General features: G+C 47.7%; 1 protein-coding gene across 3 annotated transcripts; it reads left to right on the forward strand.

Annotated features, from left to right (window-relative positions):
• Positions 5287-18985, forward strand: PLAC9 (placenta associated 9). 3 transcript variants are annotated; one of them, NR_138551.2, is made up of 4 exons: positions 5287-5457; positions 15708-15805; positions 17849-17969; positions 18526-18985. NR_138551.2 is itself a non-coding variant. In NM_001012973.3 (4 exons), exons 1-4 carry the CDS (start codon positions 6389-6391, stop codon positions 18534-18536), a joined length of 294 nt encoding a protein of 97 aa, NP_001012991.1. In that variant the 5' UTR covers positions 6356-6388; the 3' UTR covers positions 18537-18985. The 3 variants fall into 3 exon arrangements, 2 of the variants coding, with proteins under 2 accessions (NP_001012991.1, NP_001318054.1); NM_001012973.3 differs by lacking the exon at positions 5287-5457 and adding an exon at positions 6356-6452; NM_001331125.2 differs by lacking the exons at positions 5287-5457; positions 17849-17969 and adding an exon at positions 6356-6452.
• The last annotated feature ends 4608 nt before the right edge of the window (positions 18986-23593 follow it).

A 23593-nucleotide genomic window follows, 5' to 3' on the forward strand; every position in this document is an offset into this window, starting at 1 on the left:
AAAAAAAAAGAAAAAGAAACAAAAAACTTCTTATTTTTTTCTTTTTTTGAGATGGGTCTCACTCTGTCACCCAGGCTGGCATATGCAGTAATGTAATCATAGTTTACTGCCGCCTCGACTTCCCAAGCTCCTGCCATCCTTCCACATCAGCCCCCTGAATAGCTGGGACTACAAGTGTGTGCCACCACACCCGGCTAATTTTTAAATTTTTTTTGTAGAGACAGGGTATGGCTATGTTGTCCAGGCTGGTCTTGAACTCCTGAACTCAAGCCACCCTCCTGCCTCAGCCTCCTAAAGTGCTAGGATTACAGGAGTGAGCCACTACTTCCAACTTCAAAAAAACAAATCTCAACCCATCAAGTCGCCCCCTCCTTTTCCTTCCCCCGAGAGACATCCACATTCACACTTCACTGGCTCACTTTCTCTGGCTATAACTTCTGTGCCTTGGGTTAGTAGCCCCTCTTCATCTGTGCAGAATGGGCTAGGTTTGCCCAGTGCTCACTGAGAGCTCTCCCGGCGTGGGTCTTTCTGGTACCTCTGGAAATCTTCTCTTGTGCCAAAGGAAGAAGACAAGGAGGCTTTGTACAGCTCAGGCCCTCCCAGCCACTGACGCTCTTTTAATTGGGCTGTCCTCTCACCCCATCTCTCTCCCCAAAGAGATGACCAGCCCCTATTTCCTGTTTCCTTTGGCCCTTTGCCTTTGGGTATGGATTGGGAGAGCAAGCCCCTGCCAGATTTCCCACCACTTGTGCCCCGGCCCAGCCAGGCTGGGAGGACCTGAGCACATCCTGTAGCATTGCCTGTGGAGGCAGTACAGGTGCCTGGGAGGCAAATCCCTAACTAGTCTCTGTGTGCCCTGGGCCCACCTCCTAACTTCTCCAAGCCTTACATTCTGTATGCTCCCATGACCCTGGCAGGTAGCCTCACAGTCCACGCAGATTGTGACGGTATCTGCCAGGGTCATGGGAGCATTAAGTGAAAGAGAAACGTCTGCACATTAGGGCACTTCATTCATGCAGGTGGTTATGAGCGTTCTCCCCTAACTGCACAGGGCTTGCCACTCTGCGCCCCCCATATCCCATTCATCCCTTTCTCACCTCCACTCTTCAGATTCTCTATTTAGTGCCTTTCCTGGGACTTCAGAGTCAAGAGGCCTGATCATGCAGAGGACCATGAATTTTGGAATCGGATCCACCTAGCTTCCAAACTGGGATCTGCCACCCTCTACTCTTGAATCAGATATACTTAATAGATCTTATTTTTTTAAATGGGGATAAGGATATCTACTTGATAGGTTTACTGATGCAAGGATTAAATAGGGTAATGCATATACAGCCTTAGCACAATACCAGGTTCAGAGAAGTTTAGCAAATAATAGAATAATAATAAATAATAAGAGGTATGACTAGATCCAGCTGGCTACCCACCTTGCTTTGAGGCCTGGTATATGGTTGGCATATTTCTCTAGTTCCTGCCACTGATGCCGGTCTCCCCTATCTTTAATTTCACTGGTCACTTTCAAGAATATTGGAAGGAGGAGGTTTGTCAACTGGGTCCACTGGCTCCATACTATCATTTTGCCCAGGAGTTTCCCTTTACATGTTTGGGCCAGTTTCTGTTGGTATACAGAAATAAATTGATTTCCAAACACTTATCTTAATTTTTTTTTTTTTTTTGAGACAAATTCTCACTCTGTCGCCCAGGCTGGAGTGCAGTGGCACGATCTCGGCTCACTGAAACCTCCGCCCCCTGGGTTCAAGCAATTCTCCTGCCTGAGCCTCCCTAGTAGCTGGGATTATAGGCGTGTGCTACCACGCCTGGCTAATTTTTGTATTTTTAGTGGAGACAGGGTTTCTCCATGTTGGCCAGGCTGGTCTCGAACTCCTGACCTCAAGTGATCCACCTGCCTCTGCCTCCCAAAGTGCTGGGATTAACAGGCATGAGCCACTGCACCCAGCCAAACACTTGTTGATAGTGGCATCTTTTTTTATTTTTTAAATTTTTAATTTAATTTTAAGTTTTTAAATTATTTATTTATTTTTTAGAACAGTGTCTCACTCTGTCACCCAGGCTGGGGTGCAGTGGTGTGATTATAGCTCACTGCAGCCTCAAACTACTAGGCTTAAGCGATCTTCCTGCTTCAGCCTCCCCAGTAATAGGTGTGTGCCACAACGCCCCGCTAATGTGTGTGTGTTTTTTTTAATTTTTAGTAGAGATGGGATCATGCTGTGTTCCCAAGGTTGGTTTCAAACTCCTGGGCTCAAGTGATCCTCCCACCTTGGCCTCCCAAAGTGCTGGGATTATAGGCATGAGCCACCATGCCTGGCCAATAATGGCATCTTTACCTCATTCCTGATTTAATAAAGAATACATTTCTCCTTTCTCTGTTATGTACAGATGAACTATTTAAGATAAAAGTAGTTGGCGGGGCATGGTGGCTCATTCCTGTAATCCCAGCACTTTGGGAAGCTGAGGCGGGAGGATTACTTGAGCCCAGGTGCTCAAGACCAGCCTGGGCAACACAGCAAGACCCCTCGTCTCTATTTTTATTATTTTTTTAATTTGAAAAACTATAAATATAAAAATTAAAGGTAGTTATCTTGTTAAGGAAATGTCCCATTATTTCCTTTATTTTTATCCTAAGTTTGTTGTTATTACTGTTTTTAAGTTAGGGAGGCCTGTTTAATTTCATCAAATATGGTTTCAGTATTTATTGAAATTATATGTCTGTTTTGCATTTTTGTTTCCTTGACCTTGTGACAGACATGATGTAGAGAGATTTTCCCAGAACTCCCCTCGGAAATGAGTAGCTAGCCAACTACTTTATGTTCAAAGTAGTGGTAAAAGGATGGACTAGGCAATAAAGAGCATTAGGACATTTAGATACCCATTTAGGGAAAAATTTAAGTTTGATTCCTTCCTTGCAACCACATAAAAATTCTAGATGGATTAGACATTAGACCTTGAGAAAACCTTAAAACTGTTTGAAGGAAACATAGAAAAATATCTTTACAGCCTTGATTCGAGGAATCATAAGCAAGTTGTAAACTCTATAAGCCATAAAAGAAAATATTGGGAGGCCGAGGCGGGCGGATCACGAGGTCAGGAGATTAAGACCATCCTGGCTAACACGGTGAAACCCCGTCTCTACAAAAAATACAAAAAATACAAAAAATTAGCCGGGCGCGGTGGCGGGCGCCTGTAGTCCCAGCTACTCGGGAGGCTGAGGCAGGAGAATGGCGTGAACCCAGGAGGGCGGAAGTTGCAGTGAGCCGAGATAACGCCACTGCAGTCCGGCCTGGGCGAAAGAGAGGGACTCCGTCTCAAAAAAGAAAAAAAAAAAAAAAAAAAAAGAAAAGAAAATATTGAGAGATTTGGCTACCTAATATTTAAAACTTCTGAATGATGAAAGACACCACCAAGAAACTTAAATATAATGGAAGGCTGGAAGAAGACATTGCCAACATATATAACAGGCATTGCATTAATAATCAGAGTATATAAAGGAAAGGGAGGAAAATAGAAAAAAGTAATCGAAGAAGCAAATAAAGCTTAACCTCACTCATAACAAGTAGCATGTAAATAACAATAACAACAAGGTAACATTTTCCATCATCAAGCTGTCAAAATTTTAAATAATAAATATCCAGTGTTGGAGAATGTAGGTGACTGATAGGTTTACACTTCAGGTATCTCCAATCCAGAAGGGTTTTTTTTGTTTTTTTGTTCTGTTTTGTTTTTGAGACGGAGTCTCACTCTGTCACCCAGTGCAGTGGGTGACACTGCAGGAGTGCAGTGGCGCAATCTCGGCTCACGGCAAGCTCCGCCTCCCGGGTTCATGCCATTCTCCTGCCTCAGCCTCCCGAGTAGTTGGGACTACAGGCGCCCGCCACCACGCCCGGCTAATTTTTTGTGTTTTTAGTAGAGACGGGGTTTCACCATGTTAGCCAGGATGGTCTCAATCTCCTGACCTCGTGATCCACCCGCCTCGGCCTCCCAAAGTGCTGGGATTACAGGCGTGAGCCGCCGCGCCCAGCGCAGAAGTATTTTATGTAAATGGCGCCCCCTGCAGCCCAATTCCTACCTAGACTAACATGCTCAGGTGCACCTTGGAACAGCGCTGGAAGACCCCTTGCCCCTCCTGTGGGCTTAGTAACAATTTGGGGAACAGTTTTTGGCCTATCTGGCAAAATGTAAAAGGCCTTTGACGCAATGATTCCTCTTCCAGCCTTTCAGAAATATGTACATACAGGAATATGTACTACGTACATGAAGATATATGCAAAGGAATGTTTATTAAAGCTTATTTTATATTGGAGAGAAAAAGGAAGCAATCTACATGTCTGTCAATAGGGGACTGTTTGGATAAATAATGCTCCTTGTATCCATTCATGGGATATTTTAACTCTTAAAAGGAATGAAGTGGATTTATCTGTACCCACATAGACTGATCTCCAAGATTATTTTCTTTTATTTTAAGATGGAGTCTTGCTCTGTTGCCCAGGCTGGAGTGCAGTGGTGCAATCTTGGCTCACTGCCACTTCCGCCTCCTGGGTTCTGATTCTCCTGCCTCAGCCTCCTGAGTAGCTGGGACTACAGGCGCCCAACACCACGCCCTGCTAATTTTTTGTATTTTTAGCAGAGACGGAGTTTCACCACGTTGGCCAGGTTGGTCTCAAACTCCTGGCCTCAGGTGATCCACCCACCTCGGCCTACCAAAGTGCTGGGATTACAGGCGTGAGCCACTGCACCCAGCCAAGATTTAATGTTATGACTGAGATAAACATGAATGAAAGCAAATCTTCAAAATATCTATGACTTGATCTCATGTATATACATTTGTGTCTGAATATACATTAGGTAGATGGGGAATGCATAGACGTGGAACAGGCAGAGCCTACCAAGTTGAGGGGACTGGACCTGAATCATTGGACGGAGGGAATTCGTAACAGAAAAGACTTTCATGTTTTACTCTGTATACTTAATTACTTTATGCTCTACCGCAACAATAATGTATTGTATATGTTTTTGTGTGTGTGTGTGTTTTCTTAGTCTTAAATTCAAAATATAAGGTAGCCCACTGGCTCTAAGCTACAAGAATCCTTATGAGTTGGGCAGTTCTTTGACAACTTTTTTTCCCACCTGGCGAAACTATCAAGGAATGTCCTACCACCAAGCGTGAGAAATTTTTGGCATTCCTGAAATAAATTCTTCTTCTGAGCCAGCTCATGTGGGCATCATAATCTCCTTGAAGGCTTTTAAAAGATTTAGATCTGAGTCTGTCTCAGATTCTCGGGCTCAGAACCAGAATTTCTCCGTCTGAGGCTACTATCTTGCTCTGGAGGAGGGAGTGAGAACTGGATCACTGGTTAGCGTGGTAACTGTTTTGGACAATTGCATAGCCACAGCCAGGAACACAGAAGGCAGAGAGGCAGCCTTGATCTGCAAGAGCTCCAGGTAATCCCAACGGGGACCCTTGATGGACAAAGGCATTCTCCCAGGCTTGGTGATGAATGTGTTCCACTTACAGCCAGACGAGACACTCACTCAGGGCTCTGCAGCAGAGAAGTTAGAGCTACAGCTTTTTTGCTTTGTGTTTTTACTAAAACTTAATTTGTTGTTGCACTTGTTGGATGGGCATGTCCCATAGGGGAAGTTTCCACTACTGTGCTCTAAACTTTGGGCTGCTTGTACCATCTTACTTATCCCCTCATTAATAATGAATTGAATAAAATCTTTAGTATATGCTAATTTCATATCTTTGCGAGAGTTACGATTTTACCTTTTCTTTTTAAAATTACCTTTTCATATTTCTATCACTCCCTTACCAGAGCAGTGAGTTTCTGGGTCTCCCTCTTAGGGGCAGACACTGTTCCATGTAATTAGAATTAATTTCTTGTTCGTAGGTAGACAGAGAAAAGCTGCCAAACTCCCAGGAGACAGGGGTTCAGATCCTGTGCTATGGCTGAGAGTGATGCCGAGGAAGACACTTCCCTCCGAGTCTTAGTCTGCCCGCCTGTGAAACTGGCTCGTAACAAACCCCTGACCCCAGGCTCGGTCGCCTTGAGCCCAAGACCTCACCCAATGCCCCCCGCCCCGCCTTCCCTCCCGGGCTCCCAGGAGGTGCGGGGACTCGGGGGGCGGCCCCTTCCTCGGGAGGCGCCCAGGTGGCACGTCGGTGCCTCAGCTCCCGGGGTCTCTGGGCTCCGCGCTGCCCACGGGGTGCCGAGGGGCCTCTGGAGGGGGCGGGTTCTCTCGAGCCAGAAAGTCCGGAGCCGCCCAGGAATTTTGGCTCGAACTGAGTGCATTTCCTCTCGGGCCGGCCGGGTGCGATCCGGGAAGGGCGGCTGCGGGCAGACGCGGCGCTGCGCTCGGCCAGGCCGGCACCATGCGGCCCCTGCTCTGCGCGCTGACCGGACTGGCCCTGCTCCGCGCCGCGGGCTCTTTGGCCGGTGAGTGGGGCGCAGGGCGCGGCAGGGGACCTGGAGCCGGGGAGACCCGCAGATGGCGAGGAAGGAATGAGCGAGAGAGACGGAGAGAGAGCTGGACACAGCAGCGAGATGGACAGAGAGGCAGATGCAGGGAGGGAGGGATGGAGAGAAAGATTGAGAGGAAACAGACTCAGAAAAAGGCAGAGAAGTAGAGCAACGGAGAGATAAAGGAGATAGGGAAGAATACACAGTGAAAAGGAAAAAGGAGAGGCTGAGACAGAAAGAGGCTTCCCCTGAACAGATATGAACTAAGATAGAAAGAAAAAGGAGTTTGAGAGACAAAAGAGAAGAAGGAAAGAGAAAAAGTGATTAAAATGGCAAGGGGTGGAGGGAGAGAGGATATTGAAGAAAAGAGAAAGATTTGAGAGAGACCAAAAAGGAGAGAGAGGGAAGCTCGATGCCCGGAGTAGAGCTGGCAAGAGAGAAGGAGCCAGGATCTGGAGTGGGAGGTCACAGCTGCTGGGTGGGGCAGCCCCGGAGGCCAGCTCCATCTCAGAGGGCCTGTGGAGGCTCAGGCCTGGCTTTATAGGACATTGCATAAGAAGCCACACTCCAAAGGATGAGTGACCCAGGCTAGCCCAGCACAGCCTTAAGGAACCAGGCAGTCGGGCCCAGGAGAAAGGCCACCGATTCACCTGCCAGGTGGCCTCAGGTGGATCTGCAGTCAGTGAAGAAGTCAGCCTCCCGGTTTCCAGGGAGCTTCTCTGGGAAACTGAGCTATGTTGGGTGGAGATGGGGGACTGGGTGGAGGTGGAGAGCTGTGCGGAGGAGAGAGGCTGTCTGGGTACTCCATTAGCTGGGTTCCTTGCTTTTCACTGTCCGCTTTCTTCCCCTCACCTACCCCTCAGGCGGGCGGATCACAAGCTCAGGAGATCAAGACCAGCCTCGCTAACATGGTGAAATGCTGTCTCTATTAAAAATACAAAAAATTAATCGGGCGTGGTGGCACATGCCTGTAGTCCCAGCTACTCGGCAGGCTGAGGCAGGAGAATCACTTGAACCTGGGAGGCGGAGGTTGCAGTGAGCCGAGATCAAGCCACCGCAATCCAGCCTGGGTGACAGAGCAAGACTCAGTTTCAAAAAAAAAAAAAAAAGAAGAAGGAAAGGAGGAAAGTATTCATGTATTAGTGTAATTTCACACTGATTTCATATATTTTTGTGCATAATCTTTCAGATTTTAGATGATATATCTTAACTTTTGATTATGAAAACTTTTGGATACAAAAAAATACAAAGTAATAGTATGTGAAAGAATCATGTAATATACTTATCAACGCTGCTTCAAGAAGTATCAGTTCATGGGCAGTTTTATCTCATCTATAGCCTCCACCCTCTCTCCCCTCCCTGGATTATTTTAAAGGAAATCCAGGCATTGTATATTTTCTTTCTTTCTTTCTTTCTTTTTTTTTTTTTTTTGAGACAGGATTTCATTCTGTCACCCATGCTAGAATGCAGTGGCACAATCTCAGCTCACTGCAACCTCCGTCTCCCGGGTTCAACTGATTCTCCTGCCTCAGCCTCCTGAGTAGCTGGGACTACAGGCACGCACCACCACACCTGACTAATTTTGGTATTTTTAGTAGAGATAGGGTTTCACCATGTTGGCCAGGCTGGTCTCGAACTCCTGGGCTCAAGTGATCCACCTGCCTTGGCCTCCCAAAGTGCTGGGATTACAGGTGTGAGCCACAATGCCTGGCCTGGCATCATGTATTTTCATCTATAAATATTTCTTTGTGTACCTCTAAGAGATAAGCACTCTTAATAAACATAACTGCAATGCTATGATCATACTCCAAAAACTGTGTGTGATTGAATATCATTAAATATTCAATCACTGTTCAAATGTCCTTGATTGATTGTGTCATATCTTTTTGCAATTCATTTGTTTGATCCAAATAAGGTTACATACACTGCATTTGGTCAATATGTCTGTTAGATCTCTTTAAATATGTAAGTCTTCTCTCCCCTTTTTTTACTTAATTTTTTGTTTTTGTTGAAGAAACTAAGTTTGTCCTGTAAAGTTTTCCACATTTAGATTTTGCTAATTGCATCCCTTTTATGTCATTTAAATACCTCCACCCCTTATATTTTCTATAAATTGAGAGCTATCTCTAGCACGTCCAACTTCCAACCTTGGTTTGTTTGTTTGTTTATTTATTTATTTATTTATTTGAGATGGAGTCTCGCTCTGTCTCCCAGGCTGGAGTGCAGTGGTGCGATCTCCGCTCACTGCAAGCTCCGCCTCCCGGGTTCACACCATTCTCCTGCCTCAGCCTCCCAAGCAGCTGGGACTACGGACGGCTGCAACCATGCCCGGCTAAATTTTTTTTGTATTTTTAGTAGACATGAGGTTTCACTGTGTTAGCCAGGATGGTCTCGATCTCCTGACCTTGTGATTTGCCCGCCTCGGCCTCCCAAAGTGCTGGGATTACAGGTGTGAGCCACTGCGCCCGGCCTTTTTTTTTTTTTTTTTTTTTTGAGACAGAGTCTTGTTTTGTCATCCAGGCTGGAGTGCAGTGGTGCGATCTCAGCTCATCACAACCTCTGCCTCCTGGGTTCAAGCAATTCTCGTGCCTCAGTCTCCCAAGTAGCTGGGATTACAGGTGTGCACCACCACACCCAGCTAATTTTTGCATTTTTTAGTAGAGACGGGGGCTGCGGGGGAGTTTCACCATGTTGGCTAGGCTGGTCTCAAACTCCTGACATCAAGTGATCAGCCTGCCCCGGCCTCCCAAAGTGCTGGGATTACAGGCATGAGCCACCGCGCTGGGCCCAAGTCTTGGTTTCTTTTAGCAGCACTCAGAGAAACCTTTATCCCTGATGGCTTTTTAGACCATGAGCCACCACGCCCGGCCCATATTTTGGAGTTTTTTATAAAATCACTTGAAGAATAGTTTTCTGCTGCTTTCAAAAATGATCAAAACCCGTGGATGGTTTTGAGTGAATCATACATTTTAATACAAATATTGGATGTGGTAAATTTATTATTCTATTATGTTGAATGTGGTCAAATATAATTAACCCCCAAGTGGCCAGGGTTGCTTTTCAAAGCAGAGTGTGACTTTGACAATTCAGAAGATACAGCGGCACCTTTCAGATGCCACTGAGAAAACATTTCTCAACCCCCAGCATGCAGAAATCATCTGTGTTGTGGCCCTTTCTTACTGTTTGGGTCCAGATACAAAAGGTCTCCCCATAAGGCCTGTAAGTAGAAGCACCCGTACTTCCGCCTCAGAGGATGGGACCCAGGGGCCACGTCTCTTTAACTGGGGCAGCCAGCCCAGCCGAGCCCTCCTCTGGGGCCTCCGGGCTCCACAGCAGCGTGTTCTCACCAGCACAGGATGCCCCACCCATGGCCACCATCCAGGGTGCACATCAGGCCCCTAGCAGGAGCCGGGCCAGAGAAAACAACGCAGCATCCAAGGAGGTCCATTTCCCAACTGGCAGGGCCTGGGAGAGCGGGAGGAAAGGAAGGAAGGGAGCCCTGAGGAGCCACAGCCTTGGCTGCTCAGGGTTAATCATCATAATCCTTCAGTCTTTTCCACTCCCCTTGTCTGAGCCACTGACAGCCCTGTGGTGCATGTGCGTGTCTACTATTTTTTATTCATTTATTTATTTTCTTACAAGACACAGTCTTTCACTGTCACCCTGGCTGCAGTGCAGTGGTGCAATCGTAGCTGACTGTAGTCTCAAACTCCTGGGCTCAAGCGATTCTCCCGCCTCAGCTTTCCAAATACCTGAGACTACAAGTATATACCACCAATCCTGGCTAATTTTTTTTTAATTTTTATTTTATTTATTTATTTATTTATTTATTTATTTATTTTTGTAGAGACAGAGTCTCACTATGTTGCCCAGAGTGACCTCAAACTTCTGGCTTCAAGCGATCCTCTTGCCTCAGCCTCCTAAAGCTCTGGGATTACAGGTGTGAACCACCGAGCCCAGCTCGTCTAGCTAATTCTTGAGGCCTCTCTGCAGCCTCCAAAAGACAGAAGAATTAAGGATGCGCTACACGGGGGAGTCAGGGCCTCAGGCCTACCCTACCCCATTTTATGTAAGAGGCAGCAGAGGCTCAGGGAGCAGAAGAAACTTTCTCACAATCCCACAATCATTAGTGGCTGAACCAGGCTGAGAAAAGGGGTCTCCAGCATGTTTTCTACCATGATGCGTTCAAGTCAGCGCTGTGGTGAGGATGCTGGCAGTACAATGTCAGGCCCTGCTCCAAGCTTGCTCTCTCAGATGCACTCTGTGGAGGCCCCGATGAGCTCACGGACAGTTGCTCCAGGGTGCACAAAGCACAGTTTTGTCCAGATGTGAAGGATTAGTGCTGAGCCATGTTGGGAGCGACCTCAGCCCAGCCTTTTCCCTGGAGGGGTTTTGGAGCCAAGTTAGACCTCATCACAGACACGTAGAGAACAGGGTGGTTTAGGCCAGTGGAGGGGAGCAGGCTCTGGTTGTTCTGACTTCCAAAGCAGCCAGACTCCCATTTGGCTGGCAGGGTCACACTGCATCCCCCTGGCCTGAGCCTTACACGGGAGAGTGGCTAGGGTCTGGGAGAGGGCAGGTGAGCCTCAGAGAAAAGGCTTGGCCAAAGGCCTCTGGACAGAGCCAGCAGGGGGGTATGTGTATCCACAGACTCATGACAACAGGCCCTCCCCTAGGACGGCCACTCTGTGGGTGACAACAGAGGCCCCCTCAGAGCTTTTCCTCTCCAAGCTGAGCAGCCCAGTTTCAGCTGAGAGAATTGAGTTAAAATTTGGAGTCCCAGACTGGGTGCGGTTGTTCACTCCTATAATCCCAGCACTTTGGGAGGCCGAGACAGGCGGATCACTTAAGCCCAGGGGTTTGAGCTTAGCCTGGGCAACGTAGTGAAATCCTATCTCTACAAAAAATACAAAACGTAGCCAGGCATGGTAGTGTGTGCCTGTAGTCCCAGCTACTCTGGAGGCTGAGGTGGGAGAATTGCTTGAACCCGGGAAGAAGAGGTTGCAGTGAGCCATGATTGTGCCACTGCACTTCAGCCTGGGTGACAGAGTGAGACCCTGTCTAAAAAAAAAAAAAAAAAAGAGGAGTCCCTTCCCATAGCCTCCTCTAGACCTGCTCCTGCCTCTCAAGGGCCTTCTCAGGATGTGGGGCCAGGATGGAGCATAGCCCCCAGGGGCCTCTCTCTCTCTGAATATTTTACATGAATGCCTGCAGCCCACAATGGCTGCTGCTTTCTGCTGACAACCTCGTCAGACAGCCAGCTTTTGTTATGGAACATTTCAAATCGTGCACACAACAGTAGACAGAATCGCTGAATGCACCCCCATTTGCTCATCACCCAGCTTCAACAATCAGCAACTCTCAGCCCATCCTGTTTGCTCTAAACATCCACGCATGCCTCTCCACCATCCCCACTGAGGCCTGGATTATTTACTTTGGAAGTAAATCCAAGACAGCACAGCCTTTCATCTGTAAATATTTCAGTATAGGTCTTTAAAATACTTGCATTAAAAAAATAACCAAAGGGCCATTATAATGTCCTCCTCCCTCCCCAGATTCAGCAATAACACCATTATCTTTTGAAGAGTATTTTCTAAGTTCAGTGGAGGGAAATAATGAAAAGGATAATTTGGAAAACAGATTGTTCTCCACAAAAGATGCTCAGAGTGGAAGGACATTTTGTCTCTGGTCCTGTTCTCATCTCTGAGTGGAAGTGCTGAGAGCTAGATAGAGTTGGAATCAGAAAATCACAGGGCAGGGGGTCCCCACCTTGCTGAGATGAGAACAGGAGGTCAGGGTGCCTGAGGTCCAGGCATTTGCAGATGGTGTGACCTTGGGGAAATCACTCAGCCTCTCAGAGTTACACATCCATCATCAGCTCTGTCCTACCTCAAGACCTGCCCCACTTCTAGACAACTGCAGATGGCCCCTTGGCCAACCCATCCAATACCAAGGCCTTACAGCTACAAGCATTGCACGTAGAGAGATCAAGTTCCATAACTCCCCCTATTGAGCTTTGGATGCCCGCATCCATGGCCACAGCCTTAATATTGTCACTCTCTGAAGCTGCTCGACCTCTAAAAGTTAAATTGCAATATTCCTTTTTTTTTTTTTTTTTTGAGACGGAGTCTAGCTCTGTCACCCAGGCTGGAGTGCAGTGGCGCGATCTCCACTCACTGCAAGCTCTGCCTCCCGGGTTCACGCCATTCTCCTGCCTCAGCCTCCCTAGTAGCTGGGACTACAGGTGCCCACCGCCACGCCCGGCTAATTTTTTTGTATTTTTAGTAGAGACGGGGTTTCACCGTGTTAGCCAGGATGGTCTCGATCTCCTGACCTCATGATCTGCCCGCCTCGGCCTCCCAAAGTGCTGGGATTACAGGCGTGAGCCACCGCGCCTGGCTAAAATTGCAACATTCTTTACCTCTTGTTCCTCCTGTGATTCCTAAGACCTCCAGTCTCTTCAGCCCCCATTTCTCCCAATTCATTGGCCCTCTTCTTGGCCTCATTTCCTTCCTCATCCCAGCTGGATTCCAGGCCTCCTCTCCTAAACCTCTGGCCAAATCTCAGTTCCTTGGCCCCTTGCCTCCACCACATCCATCCTGCAGACTCCTAGGTTTCAGCTCCATCCAGCCATCTGTCTTTGCTGCCCTGCACCCAGACTGTGGAGCACTGCTGGGGGAGGACTCGTGCTTCCAGGATTCCTTGTTGATGCCGGCTCATTCTGCATAGCCCTCCTACACTGCATCCCTCATTCTGCACATCCCCTTTTGAAGCCCTCTCTTTATTCAAGTCCCTTACCTAGTGGTGCACTGATGGACTGGCTCTCAAAAAAAAGTGGGGAGGGGGGTCGTTGATTTCCGTGGTGTAAATGTTCTCATCATGGCCACCATTTTTTTTTTAACTTAAAATTTTTTTTCTTTTTAGAAATGGGGTCTCACTATGTTGATCAGGCTGGTCTTGAACTCCTGGCCTCAAGCGACCCTCCCACTCGGCCTCCCAAAGTGCTAGGATTACAGGCACGAGCTACCATTTCCAGACACCATGGTCACTATTTTAATGTCTGTGTTTAGCAACCTACTCATAGAATTCTTGTAATTTTAACATCTAGCTCTCCTCCCTACGTGATCTCCATCTTACTGCACAGAGTAAATAGAGGCCATCAGGTGGGAGCTCACTCCACTTTTTGGCCCTCTAGTTAGATGGTTTGCCTTTGCCCATTTTTGCTGCATTCCCTCTGTCTTCCTTCGAGATGTGGTCCCACCCCCTCTGGATCCAGGGCCTCCCATCAGTTCAGGAAGTTCATCCTTGGGTTCTCCTGTCTTCCTCCTGTCCCTCAGGCTGTAAGCATGATTGTGTTTTCCAATGCTTTAAAAAAAAAAATGACAACCATAAATACTCCTCTAGACCTTGCGATCCAATCTCCCTTCCTTCACAGCCAAGCTTCGTGAAATTTTCCAGAATCCAAGTTTCCACCCCCAACCTCACCTTCCCTCCTCATCTCATGGTAATCCAAACTCTGCTTTTCCACCACTCCTAAAAGTGCTGGGGTGAAATTTAGCAGGGCCTTTCTGTGCTCTCTTTCCAGTCCTTATCTTGCTAGACCTCTCCGCTGCTTTCGGCCCTGCTGACGCTTTTCATCCTCTGCAGAATCTGTAAAGCTCTTGGCTTCTCTTGACTTCTGGGGCAGCACCCTCCTTCCTGAGTGTCAGCGTTCTCCAAGGTTCCAGCCAACCCTGATGCCCCACAGGCATCTCAGGGTTACCAACTCTGAAACCCAAGCTCGGCATCAGGGCTCTGAGACTTCTGCTCTGAGGGTTGATGGTGCCTGGAAGAGCTAACTCAAGGAGAACAATGGTGAATCAAGAGTTGAGAGGGGTTTCACCATGTTAGCCAGGATGGTCTCAATCTCCTGACCTCGTGCGCCTACCTCGCCCTCCCAAAGTGCTGGGATTACAGGTGTGAGCCACCATGCCTGGCTAAAATTGCAATATTCTTTACCTCTTGTTCCTCCTGTGATTCCTAAGACCTCCAGCCTCTTCAGCCCCCATTTCTCCCAATTTATTGGCCCTCTTCTTGGCCTCATGAGTCCTCTGCTTATGAGTAGTGACTTTGGACACATCCTTTCACCCTTCTGTGCATCAGTTTTCCTACGTGTAGATTGGGCATAACAACAGGTTGTTGGAGAGGTTAAGTTAGCACCCTACATGGTGCATGGTAAGCACTCATCACATGCCAGCTGTTACTAACGGGTTCCCAGTGTCAACGCTGCTACTGAAATATCTCCTTTCATTTTCTTCCTCACTATTCCTACAGCTCCTGCCTCTGCTCATCACTTCTCCTTCACCCCTCTTATCCTGATTGCTGCAGTAACCTCCTGCCTTCAAAGGCATCTCCCTCCAATCTATTCCCTATATTTAAAAAATTCATGTTTGGCTCTGTGACTTTTCTGTTAAAATAACCCCCCTTGGCCTGGCTTGGTGGCTTACACCTGTAATCCCAGCACTTTGGAAGGCTGAGGCGGGTGGATCACCTGAGGTCAGGAGTTTGAGACCAGGCTGACCAACATGGTGAAACCCTGTCTCTGCTAAAAATACAAAAATTAGCAGGGCGTGGTGGCAGGTGCTTGTAATCCCAGCTACTCAGGAGGCTGAGGCAGGAGAATCGCTTGAACCCAGGAGGCGGAGGTTGGAGTGAGCTGAGATCGCACCATTGCACTCCAGCCTGGGCGACAGAGCGAGACTCCATCTCAAAACAAACAAACAAACACACAAAAAAACAAACAAGCATCAGAACTGGTTTATTAAAGCCCCTGGGTTAAAGCTCTGCCCCCTTGGCTTCATTTCCAGGACTTCCCTCTCCAGTCTCTCTCTCCCGCCCACCCTGTATCTCCAGCCACCGCGGGCTCCCTGCAGGTTTTGCACAGTGAGCCCTGCTCTTTCAGACCTCTCCATTGTTGCAGGTGCCATTCTGCCTGGCTGAAGCCCATCCTCCCTTCCTCCCTGGGCTTCACCTCCTTGAGGAAGTTCATCTGGGTCTGTAGGTGACTGTGGCTGTAGAGACTGGTGGGATTGAGATGGCTGACACTCGCACACTGACCCCCACCTGGGCCGTCCTCCGCTTGCTCCTGAGTTTGCTTTGAGGACTGACCTCATTTGAGCCCAGTGTTTACAGGAGTCTCTGGCATTATGGAAAACTAAGGGTCCCACAGTGACAAGACTTGTTTTCCCACAGCTGCCGAACCCTTCAGCCCTCCGCGAGGAGACTCAGCTCAGAGCACAGCGTGTGACAGACACATGGCTGTGCAACGCCGTCTAGATGTCATGGAGGAGGTAACAGGGTGGTTTGGAAGGACATGCGAGTTCAGGACCACCTTCTAGGATGGTGTTTTTATGGGCAGATGCAAGCTTGCTTTGGAATGTGAGGACATCCGGGCCGATCCTGCCCTGTGGCCACCTCGTCCAACATCACCCTCCCATCTAGGCTGCCGGGCTGCCCAGCCCCCAGTGGACCCTGCCTCCCCTAAGGCCTTGCTTACCCCCACCCGGATATTTCAACATCATTACTGGATGGGAAGGTGGAAATTCAGTCACTGTTTTGTTATATAGCCACGATTCCTAACTTGTGTGGGGAAAAGTTTACATCTTTATTGTCACAAGCCTTTAACTGAAATTGAGCATTCTCATTCATCATAAATACAAACAGCGAGCCGTGGTATTAACAGTACTATAACTTTGTCATCAATAGAAATCCAGATAATTTCATCTTCTAGTTATGAATATCTCAACATATAATTTTTATCCTTCCTTATGTCAAAATTTCAGTTGTTATTAGGCCTGATGTTAAATCATGTGATTTAGTGAGTTAATAAATACATTTTATTTTTTTTGAGGCAGGGTCTCTGTCTGTCTACCAGGCTGGAGTGCCGTGGTGCAGTCTCGGCTCACTGCAACTTCCACCTCCCAGGCTCAAGCAATCCTCCCACCTCAGTCTCCCAAGTAGCTGAGACTACAGACACATGTGCCACCATGCCTAGCTAATTTCTGTATTTATTTTGTAGAGGCAAGGTTTTGCTATGTTGCCCAGGCTGGTCTCGAACTCCTGAGCTCAAGCCATCTGCCCACCTCGGCCTCCCAAGGTGCTGGGATTACAGGCATGAGCCACTGTGCCCGGCCAATACATATATTACATCAAAAATTTAAATTTTTTTTTGACAGAGTCTTGCCCTGTCACCCAGGCTGGAGCCCATGGTACAATCTTGGCTCACTGCAACCTCTGCCTCCCAGGTTCCAGTGATTCTCATGCCTCAACCTCCCGAGTAGCTGGGACTACAGGCATGCACCACCATGCCCAGCTAATTTTTTGTACTTACCATGCCCGGCTAATTTTTTGTACCTCTGGTAGAGATGGGGTTTCACCATGTTGGCCAGGCTAGTCTCAAACTCCTGACCTCAAGTGATCTCGCCTCAACCTCCCAAAGTGCTGGGATTACAGGCGTGAGCCACCATGCTGGGCCAAAAAGTTTAATTTTAAATACTTGAATTTTTTTTTTTTTTTTTTTTTTTTTTGAGGCAGAGTCTCACTCTGTCACCCAGGCTGGAGTGCAATGGTGTGATCTCGGCTCACTGCAACCTCCACCTCCCGGTTCAAGTGATTCTCTTGCCTCAGCCTCCCGAGTAGCTGAGACTACAGACGCGCACCACCATGCCCGGCTTCTTTTTGTATTTTTAGTAGAGACAGGGTTTCGCCACGTTGGCTAGGCTGATCTTGAACTCCTGACCTCCGATGATCTGCCCCCCTTGGCCTCCCAAAGTGCTGGGATTACAGGCGTGAGCCACCACGCCCGGCCTAATACTTGAATAATATTTTAATGCAATTGGTGCCCTTAGTAATTCTATATGTTTTATTTTTTGCATTTAAGGCATTATTCTGAGAAGAGGTCTGTAGGCTTCACCACACTGCCAATGGGGTCCATGGCATACACAGGGAAAAACCATTAAGAACTCAGTAAATTTCAGAATCCCAAACCTGTCATTTGGCAGAGATACCACCAGGGGGCGGAACAACAAAAGGAATGTGAGCTCCAGGCTGCAAAGTCCAAAAGGGAGAAGGTATTCTACAGGCGCTTCATCCAAATCTGTGACTAAGTGCCAAAAAAGAAGGAGCCTTAGAGAGCAAGCCCCCTAGGATATTGTCATCTGGGGAAACTGAGGCAGGTAGGGGCAGAGCCTGAGTGAGGAAAACCCAGGTCACTTAGCGCCCAGTCCTTTCCCACTGCACCGCACTGGACCGCCAGCTGCTCTCTTAGGACCTAGCTGATGAAGCGGAACGTGGAACCACTTCTGTCCTCGACTTTACCCCACTTCCCACTCTAGATGGTAGAGAAGACCGTGGATCACCTGGGGACAGAGGTGAAAGGCCTGCTGGGCCTGCTGGAGGAGCTGGCCTGGAACCTGCCCCCGGGACCCTTCAGCCCCGCTCCCGACCTTCTCGGAGGTGAGCAGTGCAGGTGGCAGAGGACAGCCTCTGGGCGGCTGTCATCTGGCGCTGGGCAGGCGAGACAGGGACGGCTGCTCCACTGCACAGGTGTAGCCTGGCTGGCAGGGAGGGCCCCAGCGCTCCCTGGGGACGGAAGCGGGACGGCATCATCCCTGCTCCCCGCCCGCCCCGCCCCACCTGCCACACCCGGTGGCTGCCGCCCAGTGTCAAATGAGGTTCTGGAAGAGCCGGCCCTAGATGCCATCTCAGCACAACCCCTGCGCGGAGAAACTGCCTCCTTCATTAGCCTTCTCACGACTGGAGCTTCTCAGCTCCTTTAATTTTCCCCTGAGCAGCCACTCCTGTTCCACCCCAAAACTCTCGCAGGGAAGACGGGCGTCCCCACTGATCAGGCAGGGTTGGGGTTGCACTCTGCTCTCTCCTTGATCCTTGTGTCCCGCGCGCAGTAGTTCCTGGGGGCCGGGGAGGGAAGGGAAGGAACTGCTGGGCACCACGGGGGCAGGTACTCTGCGGCACCCCAGCTTGCTCACTGGGGGCCTCTGCTTTCTTTCAGATGGCTTCTGAGCCCTGGAGCTGGAGCCCAGCAGTTGGAGGTGGTGCACCTGCCAGGCAGCGCCCACAGAACCAGCCCTGTCCTCTCGACTTCCTTCCTTAGCTTCATGTGAAATAAAAGCTATTCTGGTCTCCTCTGTGTCTGCTGACAGAGTAACCCGTTTAACTACAGCCTCCTCTCACTCCACTTCCATGCCTGGAGGAAGCCTGCAACCCCCTCCAGGCTCAGACCTGGGGACACCCCCACTCCTGTCATTTATAGGGGCAGATGGAGCAGGGGTTGATTCACACAGATGGGGGCCCTTTGAGTGGCCTTGCTTCTCAAAATGTGGCCATAGGTGAAAAGCAAGGGGATCAGGGTCTCAGGACCCACCCAGACTGTTTAATCCAAATCTGCATTGCAATGAGACCCCCAGGGATTTTATGTGTCCATTAAAGTGGTTTGTTGTTGTTTTTAAAAATTTTTCCTATGAAGTGAAATTCAATGTAAAATTCATCATTTTAACCATTTTAAATTGTACAAGGCTGGGGGCGGTGGCTTACACCTATAATCCTAGCCCTTTGGGAGGCCAAGGTAGGAGGATCACTTGAGCCCAGAAGTTTGAGACCAGCCTGGGCAACATGGTGAAACCCCATCCCTACAAAAAAATACAAAAATTAGCCGGGCATAGTGGCACGTGCCTGTAGTCCCAGCTACTCAGGAGGCTGAGGTGGGAGGATCACCTGAGCCCTGGAGGTCAAGGCTGTGGTGAGCCATGATCATGCCACTGCACTCCAGCCTGGGAGACAGTGAGACCTTGTCTCAAAAAAAAAAAAAAGAAAAAGAAAAAAAATTGTACAAATGCAGTGGCTTCCAGTACATTCAGAAGTTGTGCAGTCATCACCACCAGTTCCAGAACATTGTTCTCTCTCTAGAAAGAAACTGTGTATCTATTAAGCAGTCACATCCCATTCCCGCTCCCCACACCCCACTGGAAACCACTGATCTCTGTCTTCACGAACTTGCCTATTCTGGACATTTTAAATACAGTAGTCCGGCTTTATCTGTGGTTTCACCTTCCATGGTTTCAGTTACCTGCAGTCAACCACAGTCCTAAAATATTAAACTCCAGAAATAAACAATATATGAGTTTTCAATTGCACATCATTCTAAGTGGCGTGATGAAATCTCTTGCCATCCCACTTCATCCCGCCCCGGATGTGAATGCTCCCTTTGTCCAGCATGGTCCACGCCGTCTACACTTCCTGCCTGTTAGTCACTTAGCAGCCTTCTCAGTTACCAGATCAATGGCCACAGTATCACAGTGCTTGTGTTCCAGCAACACTTCTTTCTCTTAATCAAGACCCAAAGTGCAAGAGCAGTGCTGCTGGCATATGGTTGTTGTTTTTCACACAACTCTCCCTTCACAGAAGCTGGCATATTGTTCTAATTGTTCTATTTTATTCTTAGCTATCGTTGCTAATTTCTTATGGTGCCTAATTTATAAATTAAACTTCATAGGTATGCATGCATAGGAAAAAACATAGTATAATAGGATTAGATACTATTGTGGTTTCAGGCATCTGCTAGGGGTATTGAAATTTATCCCCTGAAGGTAAGGGGGTAGTACTGTAGGTAGAATCACACAATACGTAGTCTAGCTGTATCTGGCTTCTTTCTCTGAGCATAATGTTTTCAAGGGCCATCTGTATTGTAGCATGTATCGGTACTTAATTCCTTCTTACGGATGAATAATGTTTCATTGTATGAATATACCACATTTTATTCTTTTATTTTTTTAGACAGAGTCTCGCTCTGTCACCCATGCTGTAGTGCAGTGGCATGATCTCAGCTCACTGCAACCTCTGCCTCCCGGGTTCAGGCAATTCTCCTGCCTCAGCTTCCTGGGTAGCTGGAATTACAGGTGCACACCACCACGCCTGGCTAATTTTTGTATTTTCAGTAGAGACAGGGTTTCACCATGTTGGTCAGGCTGGTCTTGAACTTCTGACTTCTTGATCCACCCGCCTCAGCCTCCCAAAGTGCTGGGATTACAGGTGTGAGCCACCACACCTGGCCCACATTTTATTCATTTATTCGACAATTGAGGGACATTTGGGTTGTTTGCATTTTTTAGCTATCATGAATAATGTTGCTATGAACATCCGTATGAGTTTTTGTGTGAATATTTGTTTTTTAATTTGTTTTGGGTCTATATGTAGGAATGAAATTGCTGAGTCACATGGTAACTCTTACGTTTAACTTTTTGAAGAACCACCAAACTCTTTTGTATTGCAGCTGTACTATTTTACATTCCCACCTGCAATATTAGCTGTGGCTTATTCATAGATGCCCTCTAGCAGGTTGAGACATTTTCCTTCTAGTCTTAGTTGAGTGTTTTTTTAATCATGAAAGGATGTTGGGTTTTTTCAAATGCTTTTTCTGCATCAATTGAGATGATCATGTGATTTTCCCCTTTCATTTTATTAATTACATGCATTACATCGATTTTTTTTTTTTTTTTTTTAAGACAGAGTCTCACTCTGTTGCTCAGGCTGGAGTGCAGTGGCACGATCTCAGCTCACTGCAACCTCTGCCTCCCAGGTTTAAGCAATTCTCCTGCCTTAGCCTCCCGAGTAGCTGGGATTACAGGCACCCACCACCATACCCGGCTAATTTTTGTATTTTTAGTAGAGACAGGGTTTCGCCATGTTGGCCAGGCTGGTCTTGAACTTCTGACCTCAGGTGATCCACCCGCCTTGGCCTCCCAAAGTGCTGGGATTACAGGCATGAGTGAGCCACTGTGCTTGGCCTGATTTTCATATATTAAATGACCTTTGCAGTCCTGGGATAAATTTCACTTGGTCATGGTGTATAATGCTTTTAATATGCTGCTGGATTTAGTCTGCCAGCATGTTGTTCAGGATTTTCGTTCCTGGGCCACAATTCTAGACACACCCTGGGCTGGAAGGGAACCCACTGCCTTGAAGGAAAGGACCCAGTCTTGGCTGCATTCATTGCCTGTTAACTGAAGAGCCCTTGGTCCCTGAATAACCAGCAGAGATACCTGGGTACTATGCTGAGGGCCTTGGGTGAGACTCGGTCTTGTCGGTTTCAGGTTCAGATTCAGCCAGCACATTCCCAGCTGTGGTGGTTACAAGGCAAGATTCCTGCTAGAGAAAAGTGGAGGGAAAAGTAAAGTGGGCTTTGTCTTACACCTTAGATACCAGCTCAACCACAGGACAGTAAAGCACCAAATGGTTCTTGGGAATGCCAATTCCAGGACTTGTCTCTTAGATGGCATTTATGGACCTACCCTGGGCCAGAGGGGCGCCCACTGCCCTGGAGGGGGGGGTCCCATGCCAGGCAGCATTCACCACCAGCTGGTTGAAGACTCCCTGGGCCTTAAGAGAACATCAGCAGTAGTCTGGCAGTACTCCCTGTGGGCCTGTGGTGGCGGTGGCCATGGAGTGAGGCACCTCTGCCTTGGGAAAGCGGAAGCAAGAGAGGGAAGGACTGCATCTTGTGGATTCAGTGCCAGCTCACCTGCAGTATAACAGAACACCAGGTAGACTTCTAAGATTTTTTACCCTAGTTGCTGGCTCCCAGATGGCACCTTTGGGCCCAGCTGGGGCCTGGAGGACCTTGCTGTTCTGAAGGGAAGGACACAAGCCTGGCTGGCTCTGCCACCAGCCGATTGTAGAGCCCCAGGGCCTTGAGCAGACACAGGCAGTAGCCAGGGAGTGGTAACTGCAGGCCTTGGGTGAGAGCCAGTGCTGTGCTGGCTTTCAGGTCTGACCCAGTGCAGTCCTAGTGGTGGTGGCCACAGGGGTGCTTGTGTCCTTTCACCCCCAGCTTCAGGTGGCTTAGAACAGAGAAAGGGACTCCCTTTGTTTGGGAGACAGTAACGGAATGAACAAGAGTCTCTGTATGGTAATACAGAGAATCCTGAATCTTGTCCAAGACCATCAAGGCAGTAACTCTATGAGGCTAAAAAAAAACCAAAGTGTTATTGGGCTTGGGGTGAATCCTTAAGCAGATACAGCTTAGAGCACAACACCCAAGCCATTCAAATATCTGGAAAGCCTTCCCAAGAAGGATAGGTACAAACAAGCACAGACTGTGAAGACTATGATAAATACCTAACTCTTCAATGCTCAGACACAGATGAACATCTACAAGTATCAAGACCACCCAAGATTTTCCTTTCAGCACACTGAATATGTCATCTCATTGCCTTCTCACTTCCATGATGTTGGATGAGAAATTGGCTATTAATCTTATCGAAGATTTCTTGTACGTGTCCAGTGGCTCTTTCTGCTTTCAGGATTTGCTTTGCTTTTGGACAGTATGATTATAATGTGTTTCAATGTCACACTGAGTGTCTCTTTGAGTTGACCCTACTTACAATTCATTGAGCTTTTTGTATGTGTAGATTAATGTCTTTCATTATGTTTTCAGCCATTGTTTCTTTAAAAATTTCTTCTACATTCACTCTTCTCTTGATTCTTATTAGGTGTATGTTGGTACACTTGATGGTGTCCTGCAGGTGTCTTAGGCTCAGTTAGCTTTTTTGTTGTTGTTGTTTTCTTTCTGCACCTCAGAATGGGTAATCTCAATTGACCTATCTTGAAGTTTGCTGATTTTTGTCTTCTTCCTTTTTAAGTCTGCTCTGGAACCCTTCCAATGAATTTTTTATTTGTGTACTTCTCAATTCCAGAACTTCTATTTGGTTCCTTTTTATAATTCCAGTCTCTTTACCAATATTGGTGAGACATCATTCTCCTGGTTTCCTTTAGTTCTTTGACCTTTCTGAAAATAATTGACTTAAAGTCTTGTCTGTTAAGTCCAATGTCTGAGCTTTCCTCAGTTTCTATTAACAGATTTTTTTTCTATGTATGAGCCATACTTTGTTTCTTCGCATACCTCATAGTTTTTGTTGAAAACTGAACATTCTGAATATTATTTATAATGTGGCAAGTTTGGAAATAAAATTATTCCTCCACTGTGTCACCTAGGCTGGAGTGCAATGGCAGGATTATGGCTCACTACAGCCTGGACCTCCCAGGGTCAGGTGATCCTCCCACCT

This window comes from Homo sapiens, chromosome 10 (assembly GCF_000001405.40).
Source record: "Homo sapiens chromosome 10, GRCh38.p14 Primary Assembly".
NCBI classification, from domain to species: Eukaryota; Metazoa; Chordata; class Mammalia; order Primates; family Hominidae; genus Homo; species Homo sapiens.

What these genes read in the sequence shown, in the direction of transcription:
- PLAC9 (NM_001012973.3), top strand. Translation starts at nt 6,389, where the DNA reads ATGCGGCCCCTGCTCTGCGCGCTGACCGGACTGGCCCTGCTCCGCGCC. An exon ending in CGCCGCGGGCTCTTTGGCCG is followed by an intron (nt 6,453 to 15,707) that starts GTGAGTGGGGCG and finishes GTTTTCCCACAG; the next exon opens with CTGCCGAACCCTTCAGCCCT. An exon ending in GTCTAGATGTCATGGAGGAG is followed by an intron (nt 15,806 to 17,848) that starts GTAACAGGGTGG and finishes TTCCCACTCTAG; the next exon opens with ATGGTAGAGAAGACCGTGGA.